This window comes from Homo sapiens, chromosome 3 (genome assembly GCF_000001405.40).
Source record: "Homo sapiens chromosome 3, GRCh38.p14 Primary Assembly".
Taxonomy (NCBI): Eukaryota; Metazoa; Chordata; class Mammalia; order Primates; family Hominidae; genus Homo; species Homo sapiens.
In genome coordinates, this window is record NC_000003.12 from 68,628,786 (window position 1) to 68,651,140 (window position 22,355).

General features: G+C 40.0%; 2 pseudogenes, besides 3 other annotated features; one reads left to right on the top strand and one right to left on the bottom strand.

The window, feature by feature from the left end:
• Nucleotides 2,982–3,960: an enhancer, noted in NCBI's record as "OCT4-NANOG hESC enhancer chr3:68680918-68681896 (GRCh37/hg19 assembly coordinates)". NCBI's record gives its function as "activates a minimal SCP1, AML or CMV promoter by ChIP-STARR-seq in naive and primed H9 embryonic stem cells {active_cell/tissue: H9 hESC(naive and primed)}" and the evidence as "EXISTENCE:reporter gene assay evidence [ECO:0000049][PMID:30033119]".
• Nucleotides 4,872–5,571, bottom strand: RPLP0P8 (ribosomal protein lateral stalk subunit P0 pseudogene 8; annotated as a pseudogene).
• PSMC1P1 (proteasome 26S subunit, ATPase 1 pseudogene 1) lies at nt 6,922–8,462 on the top strand (annotated as a pseudogene).
• Nucleotides 15,202–15,702: an enhancer, noted in NCBI's record as "H3K4me1 hESC enhancer chr3:68693138-68693638 (GRCh37/hg19 assembly coordinates)". NCBI's record gives its function as "activates a minimal SCP1, AML or CMV promoter by ChIP-STARR-seq in primed H9 embryonic stem cells {active_cell/tissue: H9 hESC(primed)}" and the evidence as "EXISTENCE:reporter gene assay evidence [ECO:0000049][PMID:30033119]".
• Nucleotides 15,703–16,203: an enhancer, noted in NCBI's record as "H3K4me1 hESC enhancer chr3:68693639-68694139 (GRCh37/hg19 assembly coordinates)". NCBI's record gives its function as "activates a minimal SCP1, AML or CMV promoter by ChIP-STARR-seq in primed H9 embryonic stem cells {active_cell/tissue: H9 hESC(primed)}" and the evidence as "EXISTENCE:reporter gene assay evidence [ECO:0000049][PMID:30033119]".

Genomic DNA, 22,355 nt, shown 5'->3' on the forward strand with positions numbered 1-22,355 from the left:
TCCCAGTTTAAGAAACCCCAAAGAAAGAAACAAAAACAGGGTCTCTGTGCAGATACCTGGACTTTCAAACTCTTCTGCTTTTAACATAATTAGAAAATTCCTAGCAGTGAGTCAGAAATATGTGAAAACTCTAAACATTCTCTATGTGCTCAGAGTTTGTACCATTTTTCCATTAAGACATCTAACCTTAACCTGTTTGAGGATTTGATAGAGTAGGATCTGATTGCAGAGAACAGGTCTGGAAAAAGCTTAGGTCTAAATTCAGTTTGTAGATTAAATGTGTTCATGGCCACCTTCACCATAATTAATTTTTTAAAACTTTTTTTCAATAGTTGTAGGGATACAAGTGGTTTTTGGTTAAATTTTAGACTAAAATTTTCGTGTACCCACCACTTGACTAGAGTACATTGTACCCAATATGTAGTTTTATTATCCTCCACTCCTCTCCCACCCTCCCATCCTCTGAATCTCCAAAGTCCATTATATCACTCTATATGCCTTTGCATACGCATAGCTTAGCCCCCCACTTATAATTGAGAACATATGGTATTTAGTTGTCCATTCTTGAGTTACTTCACTTAGAAGAATGGCCTCTAGCTCCATCCAAGTTGCTGCAAAAGACATTATTTTATTCTTTGTTATGGCTGAGGAGTATTCCATGGTATGTGTGTATATATGTATACATTATAGATATGTATTATATATGTGTGTATTATATATAATTATATATAATGTGTGTATTATATATAATTATATATAATGTGTGTATTATATATAATTATATATAATGTGTGTATTATATATAATTATATATAATGTGTGTATTATATATAATTATATATAATGTGTGTATTATATATAATTATATATAATGTATATTGTATAGAATTATATATAATGTGTGTATTATATAGAATTATATATAATGTGTGTATTATATATAATTATATATATAATGTGTGTATTGTATATAATTATATATAATGTGTGTATTATATATAATTATATATAATGTGTGTATTATATATAATTATATATAATGTGTGTATTATATATAATTATATATAATGTGTGTATTATATATAATTATATATATAATGTGTGTATTATATATAATTATATATAATGTGTGTATTATATATAATTATATATAATGTGTGTATTATATATAATTATATATAATGTGTGTATTATATATAATTATATATATAATGTGTGTATTATATGTAATTATATATATAATGTGTGTATTATATGTAATTATATATATAATATGTGTATTATATGTAATTATATATATAATATGTGTATTATATATACATAATATTGTCTTTATCCACTCACCAACTGATGGACACTTAGGTTGGTTTTGTATCTTTGTAATGACCACCATAATTCCTACTTTACCTGCTAAACCCAGAACAACTTCAAATAATAAGCAAAATAATTCTCCTTTATATTTCCTATACTCCCACATTGTCCTCAGTGTTTCATCTCAGATACTAAGCTGTGGGCTAGGAAGGTAGACACATGAAAAATATATCGTGAGAGACTTAAACTTTGCCTCAGCCTACAGAATAACCATACTGAGAAATTATATCCTCTAGTCTGTGGAAGAACAACTAAAATAAATAAATTAATTAAAAAACAACCTGTCCCTAGCAAGTATCTGTGGGAGGGAAATTAGGTCCCATGTGATCTTATGCCATCACTGTATGATGCTTTCACCTTCTGTGGCAGATGCACAGTACAATTAAATTTCTCTTAAAGCTATATTTATTCCATTTAAAAACCTGAATTTTTACTGAGGTTATGTTCTTTCTACTTTTTTGGTGTTCAAACTATTTTTTAAAACTAGAAGACAAATGAAGGCAGGTGTGTGTGTGAGTGTGTGCTTGGTGTGCAAGTGTGATGGATTTTTTATGACCTATTGTGACATGTAGAAAGTTGGATGTCCAAATTCTATCTTGGTCATTTACTAGTTCATGAAACTCAAACACCATGAGAGATTTCATGAGAGATTTCATTCACTTAGACAGTTAAAGGGCCAGCAGCAAATTGGTTAGCCAGTGGAACTCAAAATCTTTCCACTGGGAACCCCTGTCCCCAGAATGGAGGGGTAAATTTTCCAAAAGAAATGATAATTTCTCACATTTACAACCCTGTCATCTACTTTAAACTTTTTCACAAGCTAGGAGAAAGGCAGGGTATAAGTTATTAGAATTTTATAGTTGATGGATTAAGTCTCAGAGTGATTAAGTCCCACCTCAGTGCCAGAATTAGAATTTGAAACCAGGCCTTCTACTTCAGTTTCAAATCTCTTTCTACTAGAGTGTTATAATATCTACTTTGGCAAACTGCTAAGGCTGACCTTCTTTGTTGACCAAGAAGATTGCTTAAATATACAAGTTTCTCCTGCCCTAAAAGTCACTCTGTAGTCTGAGATGCAACTAATTAAAATTCCCCTGTTAGGCTTTTTAGAATACTATCTCTGCCTTCTAGAATTCTGCTTTTTGAAGCATAGACCAAAAGCCACCACCTCCATGAAGCCTTTTCTGAGTCCGTCTCTTCCACCCAGACAGATATAATTTATTTGTGCTCTGAATGCCCCATTGGGCTTGGTGTTTCCTCTTGGGGCAAGTAGGTGCTGGGTCTCTACGCACCTACTACTAGATTGCAAACATCCCACGATGTTTTCTACTTTTAGCACCATTCCTCTTTCCTTTTGCCAACACATCACAATTCAGATTCGTTTTAGCTTTAAACAGGAAAAAAAATCAAAGCTCCCTCACTCTCTTAGCAAAACATGGTCATTCCGTTTGCCCTGAGCAAGTTCCATCTACCCTCACATAAGTCCTGGAAATCAGGGAGGACAGAAAAATAAGGCCACCATGAAAGAGTTATTGAGATCCTTCTTGACACCCTAGCTTGATGAAATGAAAAGACTGTAGACTGAGATGTACCTGGGTTTGAATCCCACTCCCTCGTCATTCTAGTTAAATAAATTTGGCCAAATCACTGACCTTCTCTTCACCTCCATTTCCTCATCTGTGCAAGAGTCAATGTATATGATGGAACTTTTATGCCTGACACATTGGAGGCACTCAATTAAATGGTAGCACCTTATTGTTACTGGTATTGCTGCTACTTTTGCTGATATTCTTACTAACATTCTTACTGGCTCATACTCCCCCTGAGGAAACATTAGCTCTTGTCCACAATGCCCTTTGTACTCATAGCCGTCTTTGTCTCCTATCCTTTTCAGATCACTCCATGGGGCCACCAGCAGGTTTCCTCATGCAATATATAAATAGCGAATATTGGAACCAGAGTATTAATTTAGCCTAGACTTTTTTCCAGCCTTCCCACTGGCCTGCCTTGTAGATGGATGAACTGGAGCAGAAATAAGGAGGCAATGTTCTTTCTTCATATCACACACCTAAGGGATTTTTTTTTAGTCTTCTGAGAACATTAAATTCTACCTCGAGCTCAAAGTAACTCTCAATGAGAGAAATCATTCATGGGAAACAGGGGAAGGCGCTGAACTTCAAAGCCAAACTGAATCGCAGCTGGTACCCCCTGCAACTCTCAAGAATAGGAAAGCAGCAGTCGGAGAAACTAGAATGGAGTGCTGTGGGGTGGGGGCGAGGATGAACAACCACTCTGGCATTTAAATAACATTGGCAGCTTAAACTCAAGCCATCATTTCAAGAAAATTCCAACATAAGGTGAAGTAGTTTAAAGTGTAAAAAGTTGACTCTTCTGCAGAGGCAACTTTTTATACTTTACTTGTCATTCTCATATGAAACCTGCAAGTCCATGTTAAGAAACTGTTGCCTGGAAATCGGAAGTGTTAAAGATGATCGATAAAGTTACCTTACAGGGAAGGCTGAGCCAAAGCCGGCTTTTTAATTTTATTTTATTTCTCCTATTTATCTTGTAGGTGCATTAAGAATAGATTGCTTGCTCATAAATGTAACTGATTATTTGGCTGGTTATGTAGCTGTTGCTATTTTGAACTCCTGAGTTTCTGGCTTTCTGGTGGGAAGTTTAATAGCTCATTAAATGGTATACCGTCTCATTTTTATCCAGCCTCACTTTCTGCTGTTTTAATACGTGCTGAGGAATTTGGAGATGTACCCTCATTTGAACAAATGATGCTGGATAAAGAGCCATGCTCAGCCCCGAACACAGTAAAGTTTTTTAATAATGTAAATTTGAGTTCATAGTGAGTATTGAAACAGAGCTATATAGTTTCCAAACTTACGTCAGATCTCGTTTAATCTTCACGAGGTAGAAAAGTATTCATTCATTACAAAATACTTCCTACAAAGTGCCAGGCATTGTGTTCAATGTTGTGTCTGCAATTCTAGATAGCATCATTTCTCTATTTTTAAATGAGGAACCTGGTTTCAGCAAGATTAAGTGACTTGGCCAAGGTCACAGGAGTGAGCAAAAGACCCAGTTCCTCTGATTCAAATCCCATGTTCATTTCCACAGAATAAACATATAGCTGAAAGGAGCTTTAGAGATCATATCAATGTTTATATATGAGAAAAATAAGCATTCGGTCCTAAGTTTACACATGTGTACTGTGTATACACATGTACACATAGTGAAATGGGGATGGGAACTCAAGTCCCACAACACTTAGTGTATTGTCTTACACAAAAGGATACTTTAAGATTAACTTATTCTATATTTTTAGGTCATCTCTGAAGTCTACTTTCTTCTCTGAAGTACATGCTCCAAAATTTCTTCTCCAAGTACATCCCCTCAGGACACCTTAGAATATAAGAGAAACATTCTGACCAAATTTGTCTCCATCTTGACCTCAGGCACTTTAGTCTGTGTTGAAACTTCTTTTTCTTTTTTTAAGAGAAGTCTTTATTTACTTGTTTTGAAAAAAAAAAAAGCTGGCTAAGTTGGTTGCTTTTTGGTGATCAATGAGACCAAACTCCATATCCTTGTCCAACTCTCGATTCCTCCTTGGTTCAACCTTGGCTGTAGCTGTGGCCACAGTAGGAGCAGCAGTGATAGCAGAGGTCACACGGGCAGCAGCCACAAGGCAGGTAGATCAGCCAAGAAGGTCTTGACCTTTTCAGCAAGTGGGAAGGTGCAATCAGTCTCCACAGACAAAGCCAGGACTTCTTTGTACCCGTTGATGATAAAATGGGGTACTGATGCAACAGCTGGGTAACCAATCTGCAAACACTGGCACCATGCAGACACCCTGGAAGAGAGGATGCAGAGTGTCCCCTGTGATGTAAAGCACTTCAGGGATGTAGATGCTGCCATTGTCAGACACTGGCTTGATGATCCGCCAAGGAATAGGGGAGACGTTCAGCCGTATGGCTTCACTGGCTCCCACTTTGTCTCCAGTCTTAATGAGCTGCACATCCCTTACGATTTCAACGATGCCCCTGGAGATTTTGGTGGTGATGCCTAATGCCTGGAAGAACACCTGGTCTCAGCATGGTTTTCTGGGCACAGAGACTTCACATGGGGCAGTGGCACCAGCATTGGTGGTAGCTGGCACCTTATTGGCCAGCAGTGTGTCCCTGAACTCAGAACATAATGAACATGACCCAACTGACGGCTCCAACTGGTCCATCAACTAAGAATTTTGCCTCTCTCCTGTCTGCAGGCATAGTCAACTTCTAAAAATGTAAATTGTGTTGGTGGTTTCCCACTGCATTTAGAAGAAAATGCTGAGTCTGGTCCTGCAGGGTGCTTCAATGTGAGCTTCTTTGCCTGCTTGTCCAGCCTCATCTTGTTCCTCTCTCTCTCTCCCTCATGACCATTTGGCCATGCTGGTCTGCTTTTAGTTCTGGAATGTCTCAAGTTGTTTCCTGCCTTAGCACATGCCGTGCTTTCCTTTGTACTGGTCTTCCCATCTCTTTACTTAGCAAACTCCTCCTTATCCTTCAGAGTCTCAGGAGAAATGTCCCTTCCTCAGAAAGGCTCTCTCTAATTCCATTCTCAACCAGGTCTCTCTTTTTGCTTCCTTATAGCCCATCTACCTTTCATGATACTTACATACATTTGTCATCCCATATTTATTTGTGTAATTGGCTATTTAATGAGCTCCGATGGAAGAAGGGACTATGTCTATTATTTTCACCACTTTGCCTGGCACATGGTAGTGGCTTAGTAAATATTTATTGGATGCATACATTAATGGCATCTAGTGAATCCTTTAAAATCTAGTCATTAACATGTCTGTTCTGGCCTGTGTTTAGATCTCCGGAAAGCCAACACTTGTCTTATTTATCTTTGCTGTTCCCACAATACCTCATGTGGTCCCCAACACAAAGCAAATGTTTAGTAGTGTTTATAGAAGAGCCATCTCATGAAGGAATACAATTCAATATTATTGTTGATCCCAAGGAACAGATCGTCAACAGAGGCTGTAAGCATCCTCAATCCAACTAGAAAAATTCTCTACCATCCTGCCCGCCTGCCTTGTTAAACAGGCTAATGTGCCTTTGCAGCTTTGTTGAGTTCCCACTTGTTTAAAGCTGTGTTGGTGAAGTTATTTTAATGCAGGTATCATTAGTTTGAAAAAGCTCTTAGCCCCTTCACAGAAGTCTTGAAAAATATCAGCAGCCTAACTGATGATGCCATCCATGGAGACTGGATAGCTTAAGACAGTTAAATTAAACATAAATCAAGGAGGAAAAGGGAATAAAAGTGACCTTCTGGCCACCAGTAATCATCCTTCTGGCCACTAGTTTTTATCCTCTGGAGGATAACTTTGCTACTGCAGTTTTAAATCTAGAAATATAAATGGATTGTTGGTAGGAAGAGTGGTAATATCCTGAAGGAATTTGTATCGTTTTTGTACCAGGAGATCCTACCTGCTTTCCCAATCACCCCTCTACAAAAAGAGCTTGAGGGCTCAAGTGGCCAAGGCAAGATGGGTCAAAGTCAGAGTGGTGGTCATGGTCCTGGAGGTGGCAAGAAGGATGACAAGGACAAGAAAAAGAAATATGAACCTCCTGTACCAACTAGAGTGGGGAAAAAGAAGAAGAAAACAAAGGGACCAGATGCTGCCAGCAAACTGCCACTGGTGACACCTCACACTCAGTGCCGGTTAAAATTACTGAAGTTAGAGAGAATTAAAGACTATCTTCTCATGGAGGAAGAATTCATTAGAAATCAGGAACAAATGAAACCATTAGAAGAAAAGCAAGAGGAGGAAAGATCAAAAGTGGATGATCTGAGGGGGACCCCGATGTCAGTAGGAACCTTGGAAGAGATCATTGATGACAATCATGCCATCGTGTCTACATCTGTGGGCTCAGAACACTACGTCAGCATTCTTTCATTTGTAGACAAGGATCTGCTGGAACCTGGCTGCTCGGTCCTGCTCAACCACAAGGTGCATGCCGTGATAGGGGTGCTGATGGATGACACGGATCCCCTGGTCACAGTGATGAAGGTAGAAAAGGCCCCCCAGGAGACCTATGCAGATATTGGGGGGTTGGACAACCAAATTCAGGAAATTAAGGAATCTGTGGAGCTTCCTCTCACCCATCCTGAATATTATGAAGAGATGGGTATAAAGCCTCCTAAGGGGGTCATTCTCTATGGTCCACCTGGCACAGGTAAAACCTTGTTAGCCAAAGCAGTAGCAAACCAAACCTCAGCCACTTTCTTGAGAGTGGTTGGCTCTGAACTTATTCAGAAGTACCTAGGTGATGGGCCCAAACTCGTACGGGAATTGTTCCGAGTTGCTGAAGAACATGCACCGTCCATCGTGTTTATTGATGAAATTGACGCCATTGGGACAAAAAGATAAGACTCCAATTCTGGTGGTGAGAGAGAAATTCAGCGAACAATGTTGGAACTGCTGAACCAGTTGGATGGATTTGATTCTAGGGGAGATGTGAAAGTTATCATGGCCACAAACCGAATAGAAACTTTGGATCCAGCACTTATCAGACCAGGCCGCATTGACAGGAAGATTGAGTTCCCCCTGCCTGATGAAAAGACGAAGAAGCGCATCTTTCAGATTCACACAAGCAGGATGACGCTGGCTGATGATGTAACCCTGGACGACCTGATCATGGCTAAAGATGACCTCTCTGGTGCTGACATCAAGGCAATCTGTACAGAAGCTGGTCTGATGGCCTTAAGAGAACGTAGAATGAAAGTAACAAATGAAGACTTCAAAAAATCTAAAGAAAATGTTCTTTATAAGAAACAGGAAGGCACCCCTGAGGGGCTGTATCTCTAATGAACCATGGCTGTCATCAGGAAAATGGTTGGGAGATTTCTCAGTCCCTGAAAGGGATGAGGCTGGGGGAGTTGCCCAGAGGAATCCCTGTTCCCACTGATTTTTATTAGCAAAACATCCTGTGTCTTTTGGAGTACGATGTGTAAGTGCCCATTGGGTGGCCTGTTGGTCACTGTGCAGCAGTCTGCTTCCCAATAAAGCGTGCTCTTTCACAAACAAACAAAAAAAAAAAAAAAAAAAAAAAGAGCTTGAGGAAGTAGTGCATACAATGGATTGAAGCTGAATGAATCAAAATACCAATGGACTGTTAGGTAGATTTGTGCCTGCTACACTACTAGAGGACTGCACTCTCTGGCAAGCTGAGCTGAAGTGTCCTCCCATAGGTTGGTCTTTGGGTGTGGGCCATAGACTAGCAACATCTGTATCACCTGAGAACTTGCTAAAAATGCAGAATCTGTGGCTTCCAAACCTACTGAGTCAGAATCTCTATTTTAACAAAAACCCCTCAGTGATTGTATGCACATTTATTTTGGAAGCAAGATAAAGAAGAGAGAGGAGCAGAGCGAGAGCTACAGCCAACCGTTATGTCTAATGAATCCTATGCACCACCCTTTGCCTTCTAGTCAGTATCCTTTAGAAAGAGACCATTATCATGGCAGAACTTTAAGGTATTTTATCTTCCCATGTGGTATACCCCAAGTCATGAGAGTCAAGCAAAGTCCCAGGTCCTGGCTGACTCAGAGAGAAAGACTTTCACAAGAATTTCATGAACTCCAAAATGATAACTAGTAACAAACTTGCTTTCACTAATTGCAGCCAAAAGCTGTAAATACTCACATCCCTAAGACAGAATGGCTGGAGGCAGAGAACTGAGAAAGCTTAGCATTTATTATGTCAAAAGATATAAGAATAAACTCTTTGGTAACCTATAATAAAAACAACAATATAAATTCCTAGACAAGAAAAAAGTTTATTTTATCTATACCTATAGCCTTGCTTACAGTGGTCTGGAACTGGGTTTCTGGGCTGAAGATATGAATGACAGAGAAAATAAAACTTAGTTATCTGGGAGGAAAAGGAAAACAAGAAAATTCACCATGCCATTGTCTGACTATTACATGGAATCTGGTTTTGAAGACTTAAGATGAATATTAGGGAAAGAACTGTAGATTTAGAGCCTATTTTATTTCATTCATTCAAAGTCTATTTTAACATTGAACTTAAAGAGTTTCAATGCTATACCTCAATATCATATGTACAACCTCTTAATTTGCAGTGACCGCATACAATAGTAAATTTTCTATAAAGTATTCCAAAATCTGACCAATAAAATTAGTATTCCCTTTTTCTTGGGAAGAGTAACAGAGTAATAAAGAGAGATAACAATTTCTGTATGAAATGCAGCCTCATGCAGGCAGGCTTAAAAGGGAAAATGAATCTCAAAGGGCATTGCAGAGGGGCATGTGTGCATGGAAAAGAAAAATTACATGTGAAACTGAGGCCATAGGGGAGTGTCTGTTGACTTCAGACCTCTGAGAAATTTTTCAGAGTCCTCAGAACAGCTTTAACTCTGTTCCCCAAGCAGAGGAGAAAATAATGCCTTTTAAATATATTTTCATAGAGTAGCATCCTTTATTATTATTATTATTTTATTATTATTTTTTTTTGAGGTGGAGTCTTGTTCTGTCGGCAGGCTGGAATGAAATGGCACAATATCGGCTCACTGCAACCTCCGCCTCCCAGGTTCAAGTGATTCTCCTGCCTCAGCCTCCCGAGTAGCTGGGACTACAGGTGCGCACCACCATGCCCAGCTAATTTTTGTATTTTTAGTAGAGACGGCACTTCACCATGTTGGCCAGGATGGTCTCGATCTCTTGACCTCGTGATCCGCCTGTCTCAGCCTTCCGAAGTGCTGGGATTACAGGCATGAGCCACCGCACCCAGCCCCTGTATTATTTTTAATGTATTTTTTTCTCCCACTACAGTGAGGAGCTACCCAGTAGAGATTCCCACCAACACACACACACACACACACACACAAAGGATCCTTCCACGTAGATACATGAATTTCCATTGTCCTAGTTAGCATAGTTTCATCTTCTATTAAGGTTTTCAAGGCAGGGTCTTAAATCCTGACTTGGAGCCTTAAGGAGCAGTAAAAACATTAAACATGGAGTTGTTTTTCCTCAAAATTCAACTGTGAAATATTTAAATCCTGAAAAAAAAAGGGAAAAAAAAGAACTTTTGTGAATTTTAATCTCATGGTATTGCTAGCATATGGGCAACTTCAGAAATAAGACAATGACTTGTTTCAAAAGAAATCTGATTTTTGATAGACTTAAATATCCTCTGCCCACACCATCCCAGCTGTCTGCTGGGTTGATTGGTCAGTCCATACTGGGGTTTATGGGATTAAGATTGTTTTAACAAAAGCTATGAGTTTTTTTATTTAAAAAAATGTTTTTAAGCTATGCTTATATAGTGATCAGACATATGTGTCCTTATATGATTTTAAGAATTACCCTCCAAAGTATGCAGACAAAATACAATTGATTTTGTTTACAGATGAGGAAATTGAGGCTCAGTGGAGTTAAGTGATGTGCCCAGAGTAGTATATCTGGAACGATAATCCAGGCCTCCTGACTCTTACACCTATTATTCAGTTTTATAATACAAAATTGCCTCATCTGCTTCTAGGAAAAGAGCATTTCTCTGAATTCCATATCATGTATTGATGTCCCATTGTCCTGATGAATAGCCTCTAACTTTGTTCTGTCAATACTAATCTCCTTCTTTTACTATAAGCAGTTAAAAGTAGCCATGCAGCAGCCTGAATGTTTTCCTGCCTAAATATTTCTTCCACCAAATATTCTTGTTCCTCATTCTTAAATTCTGCCTTCCATAAAGCCCTAGGGCATGGACACAATGCAGCTAAGTTCTTTACAACAGAATAACAAGGATGGCCTTTAGTCCAGTTTCCAATGTCTTGATCTTCATTTCCATCTAAGAACTCATCAGAATGGCCTTTACTGTTTATATTTCTGTCAACATTCTGGTCACACAAATTAAGTAATCTCTAAGAAGTTTCAGACTTTTCCTAGTCAATCCTCCTGAGTCCTCACCAGAATCACTCTTAACATTCTGTTTATGAAAATTCAGGCTTTTTCTAGCTTGTTCTTCCAAAGTCTTTCAACCTCTACCAGTTACCTAGTTCTCAAGCTAATTCTACATTTTCAAGTATCTGCTATACCAACAACCACACTTCTTGGTACCAATTTTCTGTCTTAGTCCTTTTCTGTTGCTATAACAGAATACCTGAGACTGGGTAATTTATAATGAACAGAAATTTATTTGGCTCATGATTCTGGAGACTGGGAAATCCAAAAGCATGGCACCAGCATCTGTGAGGGCCTTCTTGCTGTGCCATAATGTGGCATAGGGCATCACATGGTGAGAAAGCAAGTGAGTGCAGGTCAGCTTAAGTGACTTCTTTTTATAAAGTCAACAGTCCTATCATGAGGGCCCTACCCTAAAGACTTTGTCTCATCCTAATTACCTCACAAAGGCTCCACAACCAATCAACATATGAGTGTGGGGATTATGTTTTCTTTATTTTTATTTTTTATTTTTTTTTGAGACAGAATTTCACTGATCTCGGCTCACTGCAACCTCTGCCTCCCAGGTTCAAGCGATTCTCCTTCCTCAGCCTCCTGAGTAGCTGGGATTACAGGTGCCTGCCACCATGCCCAGCTAATTTTTTGTATATTTAGTGGAGTTGGGGTTTTGCCATGTTGGGCAGGCTGGTCTTGAACTCCTGACCTCAGGTGATCTACCTGCCTTGGCCCTCCACAGTGCTGGGATTACAGGCGTGAGCCACCATGCCTGGCCAGGATTATGTTTTCTACACATGAAATTTGAGGAACACATTTAAACCGTAGTACCCTCATTTGAATTATTTCAGAATTTTTTAGTTTACAGTATATTTGAGTTCTCTTTAGCCACCCATTTGATTGACCAGATTTAAACATTCTTTAATGCAAATATTCATGAAAGCTTATTTAAGGGACATATGGATGTGTACATGAAACCCATATCTCAACCCCTCCTCTCCCCTCTTATCATGACCCCAAGATAGAACACACTCAAGATAGACAAGGCTTTCAGTCTGGAGTTCCTTCCCCTAGGGAGTGGTTTGACTTATGGATAATGCTATGTTAATGGCACTTTCTGAACCATTGACTTGGTACCCTATATTTTCCATCCAAGGGAAAGCCAAAGGTGTGTCATTGGTTCTTAGGGCCCTACTCTAATGGCTGGTTATAAAGCCAAAGATGCAGCCACAATCTATTCCAGGGCTCAGAATTTAAGGTATCTCTCCCTACTTCTCTCCATTGGAAAAGAACTAGCTTTTCATAAGTCCCAACCCAAATCATTTTATCAGAATCTGAAGGGTTTATTGCTCACTGGATTTTTTTTCCAGTCAGCAGATAATATTAATGCATCAATTCTTTCATCTTAATTAAGGAGACACATTTAATAAATCACAATGATCATCTGGTTCTTTTCTACTGACCAATACAAAGTTGCAGACTGATATGTAATACAGAGCTAAGACACAATTGCTACCTCTATATTGCACATTAGCACTATTTTGGTTTATTATTCCAGCTGTCAAAGATAATCACAAACAACTTAAAGAATTACCTCCTACAAATCTTCCACCTATCTCAAGACTAGCATTCCTTTCAGGTGAATTTTCTTTTTTTTAAGTTAGAGATTTTTTTTAAATTATGGTTGACTACAGATAAAAGCAATATATTATATTTTTAGTTTTTTTTCCTCTCCAACTTTTGAAAGTCTCTGCTTTGGGGCAGAAACTATGGGGTTTTCTAGGTATAAAATCATATTGTTCATGAAGAGAGGTAATTTGACTTCCTTTCTTCCTATTTTGATGCCTTTTATTTCTTTCTCTTGCCTGATTGCTCTGGCTAGGATTTCCAGTACTATGTTGAATAGGAGTGGTGAGAACAGGCATCCTTGTCTTGTTACAGTTCTCAAGGAGAATGCTTCTAGCTTTTGCCCATTCGGTATGCTCTTGGCAGTGGATTTATAATAGATGACTCATTATTTTGAAGTAGTTTCCTTCGATGCCTGGTTTGTTGATGATTTTTAACAAGAAAGGATGTTGAATTTTATCAAAAAGCCCTTCCTGTGTCTATTGAGATGATCATATGATTTTGTTTTTAGTTCTGTTTATGTGATGAATCACATTTATTGATTTACACATGCTGAGCCAACCTTGCATCCCAGGAATAAAATCTACTTGATTGTGTTTGATTAGCTTTTTGATGTGCTGCTGGATTCGGTTTGCTAGTGTTTTGTTGAGGATTTTTGCATCCCTGTTCGTGAGGGATATTGACCTGAAGTTTTCTATTTTTGTTATGTCCCTGCCAGGTTTTGGTATCAGAATGATGCTGGCCTCATAGAGTAGAATGAGTTGGGGTGGAGTTCCTCTTTCTCAATTCGCTGGATTAGTTTTAATAGGATTTATACCAGCTCTTTACACATCTGGTATAATTCAGCTGTGAATCTGTCTTGTCCAGGGCTTTTCCTGGTTCGTAGGCTTTTTATTACTGATTCAATTTCAGAACTCATTATTGGTCTCTTCAGGCTTTTTAATTTCTTCCTGTTTCAATCTTGGGAGGTTGTATGTTTCCAGGAATTTACCCATCTCTTGTAGGTTTTCTAGTTTGTCTGCATAAAGGTGTTTGTAGTAGTCTCTGAGTATTTTTTGTATTTCTGTGAGGTCAGTAGAAATGTCCCCTTTGTCATTTCTAATTGTGTTTATTTGGATCTTCTCTCTTTTTTCTTTATTAGTCTAGCCAGCAGCCTATTAGTCCTCTTCCTTCAAAAAACAAACTCTTGGTTTCATTGATCATTGGTGTCATTTTTTTGCTTCTCAATTTCATTCAGTTTAGCTTTGATTTTGCTTATTTCTTTTCTTCTGCTGTCTTTGGGGTTGGTTTGCTCTTGTTTTTCTAGTTCCTCTAGGTGTGATATTAGGTTGTTAATTTGAGATCTTTCTAATTTTTGATGTGAACATTTAATGCTATAAACTTTCCTCTTAAGATTGCTTTACATGTGTCTCAGAGATTCTGGTATATTATAGCTTAGTTCTCATTAGTTTCAAAGAATTTCTTGATTTCCCCCCTTAATTTCATTGTCTACACAAAAGTCATTCAGGAGCAGGCTGTTTAATTTCCATGTAATTGTATGGTTTTGAGAGATCATCTTAGTATTAATTTCTGTTTTTATTGTGCTGTGCTCCAAGAATGTGTTTCTTATGATTTGGAGTATTTTTTAGTTTGTTGAGAATTGTTTTATGTGTGAGTGTCTGGTTGATTTTAGAGTGCATGCCACATGAGAAGAGAAGAACATATATTGTATAGGTGTCTTTTACACCCATTTGGTCAAGTGTCGAGTTTAAGTCCCAAATATATTTGTTAGTTTTCTGCTTCCATGATGTGTCTAATACTGTCATTGCGATGTTGAGGTCCCCCACTATTATTGTGTGGTTATCTAAGTTACCTCATAGGTATGTAAGAACTTGTTTTATGAATATAGGTGATCCAGTGTCTGACTGTATTGTGAAATTCTTATAGTGAGTTATTTAGCTCTATCAGATCAGTTTGGTTGAGCTCTTGTTTCATTTTATTGGATTCCTTAGATTCCTTGGATTGGGTTTCAACTTTCTCCTGAATCTCAATGATCTTTGTTACTATCCAGATACTGAATTCAATGTCTGTCTTTTCAGCCATTTCAGCCTGGTTAAGAACCATTGCTGAAGAGCTAGTGTGATTGTTTGGAGGTAAGAAGACACTCTGACTTTTTGAGTTGCCAGAGTTCTTGAGCTGGTTATTTCTCATCTGTGTGGGCTGATGTTCCTTTAGTATTTGACATTGCTGTCCTTCGGATGGGGTTTTTTTGCTTTTGTATTCTTCAGTGCCCTTGAGGGTTTGACCCAGTTGACTGGCTTTGTTCCTGGATTATTTCAGGGTGCCAAGACTCAGCTCACCACTCCTAGGCTGTGTGCTCTAACCCTGGAGGGTTGGTACCAAGCCTACAGCTTTACTCTCTGGCCCCTCGAGGTTAAGCACCTGCTGTGTTGGAGGGGCTGAGGTGTTCCCACTCCACTGGTAAAAATGCTCTGATGGGGTGCCGGCAAAAGCACTTCATTTGGGTGGTGGCAGCAGGGTCCATGCTCATGTGCATGTATGCCGGCAGTAGTGGGGTGGTAGAGACCACATGCGTGTGCTCACTCCAGCAGCATTGATGTGGTGGTGTCTGTGTGCATATGCTGGTGGCAACAGTGGTGTGGGAGGGTGTGTACACACCAGCAAATGTGGGGTGGTGGCATCCATATGCACACATGTACTGTACACCTGCACTGGCAGGGGCAGGGCAGCAGTGGCGAGGTTCACGTGTGCACTGGCGGCAATAGCGTGGTGAGGTCCACACATGCTGGCAAAGCAGTGGGAGGAGGCTGTGGGCAAGTGCACATCCTCTGGGGCCCATCTACTGAAGCTCTCTGACAGTTAGGCGGGGACTACCAGCAAAGAATCTATGGTGATGGCTACCAGAAAGTGCTTCCAAGGCTGCGCTGCAAGCAGATACAGCCAGGCAGGGACCACAGGAGAGGCCAACAAACAGGGGCCTGCTCAGATCAGACTGGTCCTGTCCCACAGGCAAGACCACCCTGCTTTGTCTAGGTCCAAGAGTCAACAAAAGCCAAAGCCACCTAGAGGAGCATGGCAAGCCTTGGGGTATGACATCCCTGGCCATGCTCCACTGTAGCCATTCCCACGCCAAACCCTCTGGGCTCCACACAGGCTAGAGTTCTGTCCCTGCCACCTCTCCAAGCAGCTGTCCCTGTCAGCTCAAATGTTCATGGGGGTCATAGGGTCTCCTGCAGCTAGGATTCTGAAGATCCATGGTGAGAGTAGGCCACTCCTTGCCTATTTAACTCACTCCTTCCCCAGGAGCCACTGAAGGCCAGGAATAAGTCCTGGTACTCAGCAGTCCTGTACAGGGTTCCTACCTTACTCCCCCTGCAGCTCAGGGTTTGCATCCTCCCTCCGTCTATTCTCAATGCCTTCCTTCCGAAGGTCTGCTCAGAGCGTGCCAGTCTTCTCTATCTGGTCTTTTTGTGGGAGATGTTCTTCCTGCCTGCATATAGTTGGCCATCTTGCCTCTTCTCCCTGAAAATTTATAAGAGAGTGGATTTTAAGTGCTATGGCCTAGAAATAGGAGGCACGGCATGCCAAGCAGGCCATGTAAGGAAACCTCAGGAAGCCTCAGTGTGATCAGAAGACAGAGTAGCAGAAACAAGGGCGCTTTCAGGTAAATTTTAAAGAGACAGTTCTGGTACTAAGCTGTAGCAACAGCATTCATTACCAAGGTGCATTTTCTTGTTCATGGAATCACTCAATGCTTGGCACAAACTGCCATTTTTTCACTCATTTAACAAATCTTTACTGTGTGACTACTCTGTGCCAGGCACTATTTTAAGATAGATAGATAGAATATATATATATATATATATATATATATGTCTATTAAACCTCTTTTTCTTTATAAATTTATATATATATATATATATATATATATATATATATATATATATATAAACTCTTCCTTTGGAAGAGTTTATAGTCTAGCTAGAGAGAGAGATAAATATATCAATATTCATTGTTAAATTGGAGTAGGAATAAATGACTAAATAAAGCAGTGATTGGAAGCAGGAAGTGTTGGGGAGTGAGGCTGGGAATTGCAATTTTATATATGATGGTCATGGGAGGCCTAATGGAGAAGGAAATGGTGTGAGCAAAGACCGAAAAGACATACAGATATGTAGGGAAAGAGCAATCCAGGCAGAGAAGTTAGGAAGTGCAGAGTTCCTGAGGCTAGAGAATGCTTGGTGAGTTTTACAAACAAGGAGAGGACGATGAAGTGGCTGGGGAGGAATCGGTGTGTTGTAGAGCAGTAGTGGACAGACAAGGTCAGAGTGGAGCTCAGGATCATACCATGTAAAGTTCTGACAGGCATCAAAAAGTCTTTGAGTTTGTGTCTGGATGAGATGTGAACTACTAAAAGATTTGAGTGGAGGAATTACATGGTCTATCTTAATTTTAAGAGAATCACTCTTGTGCCCATGTGTTCATGTAACAAACACTTATTGAGCATATACTTAGCATCAAGCTTGACGCCAGGAATTGGGGACACAAAGTTAAACAAAATTTGGCTTCTTCTTTCAGTTCACGGAATCTGCTGCAGCTATTTATACAGGTTGCTCTGAAAATGAGTTAAATGTCTTATTTAATTCAGTACATGGGCAAGGACCATGGGTTGTGAGTGAGTGAGGCTGTAGTTTTATTCCACTGCTGAGTGCCTCAACCATTCCCATGTATTGCCTTCTGTTTGATTGGTGCCAAGCCCATTTTTCACAGGCTCATCCATTACTTTCCCTAATCTGACTAATAATTTCTTTCTTATGGCTGAATCAAGGCTGGTATATATTCAAGTTAAAAGTGTTTTGTATTAAAATGTATTTCATCAGATTTCAAAAAGCCAAGTTCTCTCTGTAAGGAGAAATGCAGATTATCCAAAGGAATCTTATGATCATTTGCAACTGTGGGTTGCTTTATTGAGGAGCATGCAAGTAAGGAATGCTAAAATCATTTCCACTTCCCCTCCACACTCTCTCCAAGTTGGCAATTAAATCACTATATGTGAACCTTGAGGCAGAATGAATGTTCTCAGGCCAATTTGGGGGTAAATTATCTGGTAAAAGAAACCAAAACCAGCCTCCCTAATAACTTCCATAACACAAAGTCACTTTTTACTGTTACTGTGTCTGTGACATAATTTACAAAATTCCCTTTTGCCAAGAGGGGACTAAGTGGGCATGCTCTTCATACCCAGGTTATTAGTCGGCTTTTGCTATACAGCAAGCTATCACTAAGTCTCAGCAGCACACAGTAATCAGCAATTATCTCTGTTCAAGTTGGGCAGTTGAGCTGGTGTCTCTGCTTCAGGGTGTGGGTTGTGCTCAAATGTACTGAGGCCCAGACTGAAGAACTGGAGCATGTTCCTCTCACTGTAGACATTAGAAGCTCCCAGTATAGTGAGTTGAAAGGTGTCCCCACACCCTACAAAATGTTCTAACTCCTTGATATGGTTTGGCTGTGTCCCCACCCAAATCTCATCTGGAATTTTAGCTCCCACAATTCCCAAGTGTGGTGGGAGGGACCCGGTGGGAGGTAATTGAATCGTAGGGGTGGGTCTTTCCTATGCTTTTCTTGTGATAGTGAATAAGTCTCATGAAATCTGATGGTTTTATAAAGAGGAGTTTCCCTGCACATGCTCTATCTTCCCTGCCACTGTGTAAGATGTGACTTGCTCCTCCTTGCCTTCCACCATGATTGTGAGGCCTCCCCAGACATGTGGAACTATGAGTCAATTAAACCTCTTTTCTTTGTAAATTACCCAGCCTTGGGTATGTCTTTATCAGTAGGGTGAATATGGACTAATACACCTTTTGAACCTGTAAATGTGATCTTATTTAGGAAAAAAAGTCTTCTATAGGTTGAATGTTTGTTTCCCCCAAAATTCATATGTTTAAGCCCTTACCCTCAATATGATAGTATTTGGAGGCAGGGCCTTTGGGAGGTAATTAGGTTTAGATGAGAGTGGAACTTCCATGATGGTATTGGTGCCGTTTTAAGAAGAGGGAGAGACATCAGCGCTCTCTCTCTCTCTCTCTCTTCAACTATGTGAGGCTATGGCAAGAAGATGGCCATCTGCAAACCAGGAAGAGGGTCTTCGCAAGACATGGCATCTGCCAGCACCTTGATCTTGAACTTTTCAGCCTCCAGAAGTGTGAAAAATAAATATCTGTTGTTTAAGTCACCAAGTCTATGGTATTTCATCATAGCAGCCCAAGCTAACTAAGACAGTGTCTTTGTAAATGTAATTAAGTCCAGGATCTTAAGATGAGATAATCATTTGCAATCTATGTGGGTACTATATCCAATGACCAAGTAAGGGTTCTCATAAGATACAGAAGAGAAGATGGTACAAGGAGGCTGTGGAAAGATAAAGACAGAGATTAGAATTAGGCAAGCACAAGCCTAGGAACACACTTTGCAGGGAGAACAGCTTTGTTGACCTCTTGACTTTGAACTTCTGGCCTCCAGAACAGTGAAAGAATTTCAGTTATTTTATACCATCAAGTTTGCAGTAATTTGTTACAGCAACCACAGAAAACCAATACACAGAGGGATGAATGGAAACATATGAAGATCATACAACATAAGCTTGGAATCCAGACACTGTCCCTTCTACCTACCTTCCATTAGCCAAAACCTGTCACCAGGACAAGCCCAGTACCCATGAAGCTGGGATGTACACTACTCCTATGGAGGTCAGGGAGGAGTGAAAGCAAGAGATTTTTTGCTGAATAATAATCTACCATACTTTGTTTTGTTTCTTTCGTAGCATTTGCTCACTAGGTCTTCCTTCCAAATCTAGGATTCCAGAAGACAACTCAGAACTTACCTGGGGATTTCTGTACATAGAAACCAGTGTTCTAAGATAAAAGGATGATGGATGAATCATAGGAAGTTCAGTGGATATGAGCCAAGTTCCCAAAGAGGAAATGGTAAGGATTTCTAAGCCTCAACTAGCCTCCCGTCTCTGCACAGATCTCCAACACTTTAGATACAAAAGATACACCATGCAAATACACCTCTCCTAAAGCACTGGCCCTGAATGCTATGCTCTTTGATCCTGGTGAGCTGAGCTGAAAGTTGCTGAGAGGACTGCTTTCTAACCTCTTTCCTTTTGACTCATTTTTTTTAGAATGGGCCTTGGACCACCTGTATGGAATTACTTAGGGTGTGATATGGTTTGGCTGTGTCTCCACCCAAATCTCATCTTGTTTTGTAGCTCCCATAATTCCCACATGTTGTTTGAGGGACCTGATGGGAGATAATTGAATCATGGAGGTAGTTTCTCTCCTACTGTTCTCATGGCAGTGAATAAGTCTCATGAGATCTGATGGTTTTATAAGGGGAAATCCCTTTCACTTGGTTCTTATTCTCTCTTGACTTCTGCCATATAAGATATGCCTCGGCCGGGTGCAGTGGCTCACGTCTGTAATGTCAGCACTTTGGGAGGCCAAGGTGGGCGGATCACGAGGTCAGGAGATCGAGACCATCCTGGCTAACACAGTGAAATCCCGTCTCTACTAAAAATACAAAAAAAAATTAGCCGGGCATGGTGGCGGGCACCTGTAGTCCCAGCTACTCAGGGGGCTGAGGCAGGAGAATGGCATCAACCCAGGAGGCAGAGCTTGCAGTGAGCAGAGATCGTGCCACTACACTTCAGCCTGTGCAACAGAGCGAGACTCCATCCCCCAAAAAAAAAGATGTGCCTCTTGCCTTCTGCCATGATTGTGAGGCCTCCCCAGGCACGTGAAACTGTGAGTCTATTAAACCTCTTTTTCTTTATAAATTACACAGTCTCAAGCATGTCTTTATTAGTATCATGAAAGTGGACTAATACAGGGTGCTTCTTACAAATGCAAGTTTTTCAATCTACTGCTCACCCCCTGAATCAGAATCTCTGGCAATTTTAACACACATCTCAGAGAATTTTGATGCACACTAATTTAAACATCACTGTTGTTTCTCAAACTTTATACTATCTTGTATATATCACCAGCACCCATTAGCAGATGTGAGTGATCCTGTACTTTCTGGGAATATGGGTTCACCATCCTAAGTCTCTGTGATAGGAAATTTCCTTTAACTCTAGTGTTTTCTCTCTCAAGTTCATGAATATTAACCTTCTATTCTACAATGTGTTTGCTCCATTGAAGACAAATATTTTCCCCTAGACTTTTGGTTAAATTGAGGCTCAACAGTTTTTTTTTAATTTATTATTATTATACTTTAAGTTTTAGGGTACATGTGCACAATGTGCAGGTTAGTTACATATGTATACATGTGCCATGCTGGTGTGCTGCACCCATTAACTCGTCATTTAGCATTAAGTATAGCTCCTAATGCTATCCCTCCCCCCTCCCCCCTCCCCCCTCCCCCCACCACACAACAGTCCCCAGAGTGTGATGTTCCCCTTCCTGTGTCCATGTGTTCTGATTGTTCAATTTCCACCTATGAGTGAGAACATGCGGTGTTTGGTTTTTTGTCCTGGCAATAGTTTACTGAGAATGATGATTTCCAATTTCATCCATGTCCCTACAAAGGACATGAACTCATCATTTTTTATGGCTGCATAGTATTCCATGGTGTATATGTGCCACATTTTCTTAATCCAGTCTATCATTGTTGGACATTTGGGTTGGTTTCAAGTCTTTGCTATTGTGAATAGTGCCGCAATAAACATACGTGTGCATGTGTCTTTATAGTAGCATGATTTATAGTCTTTTGGGTATATACCCAGTAATGGGATGGCTATATAAACAGAACCAAAGACAAAAACCACATGATTATCTCAATAGATGCAGAAAAGGCCTTTGACAAAATTCAACAACCTTCATGCTAAAAACTCTCAATGAATTCGGTATTGATGGGACATATCTCAAAATAATAAGAGCTATCTATGACAAACCCACGGCCAATATCATACTGAATGGGCAAAAACAGGAAGCATTCCCTTTGAAAACTGGCACAAGACAGGGATGCCCTCTCTCACCACTCCTATTCAACATAGTGTTGGGAGGCTTAACAGTTTTGCTGAGCCAGCAGCTTTGTGCATTGCTCACCATGCCATTCTTCACAGCCTTCTATGTCTTCACCCTGATGCTGGATCACTCTGGTGTTGAGGAGGGGACACATGGGGAGGAGTTCTTCAGAGTCTCTTTTCCAGAGAAATCTAGATATGCTCACGCAAAAAGTACTTGGTATTTACTTTTGAGGGCCTCACAACCCCTGTGAAGCATTTTGAGGGCTCCTAGGTGAGGAGGCCTTAGTCTAAAGTTTACAGCAGTGTAGCTAGATGATTCATTTCTATAATGAAAACAATAATAAAG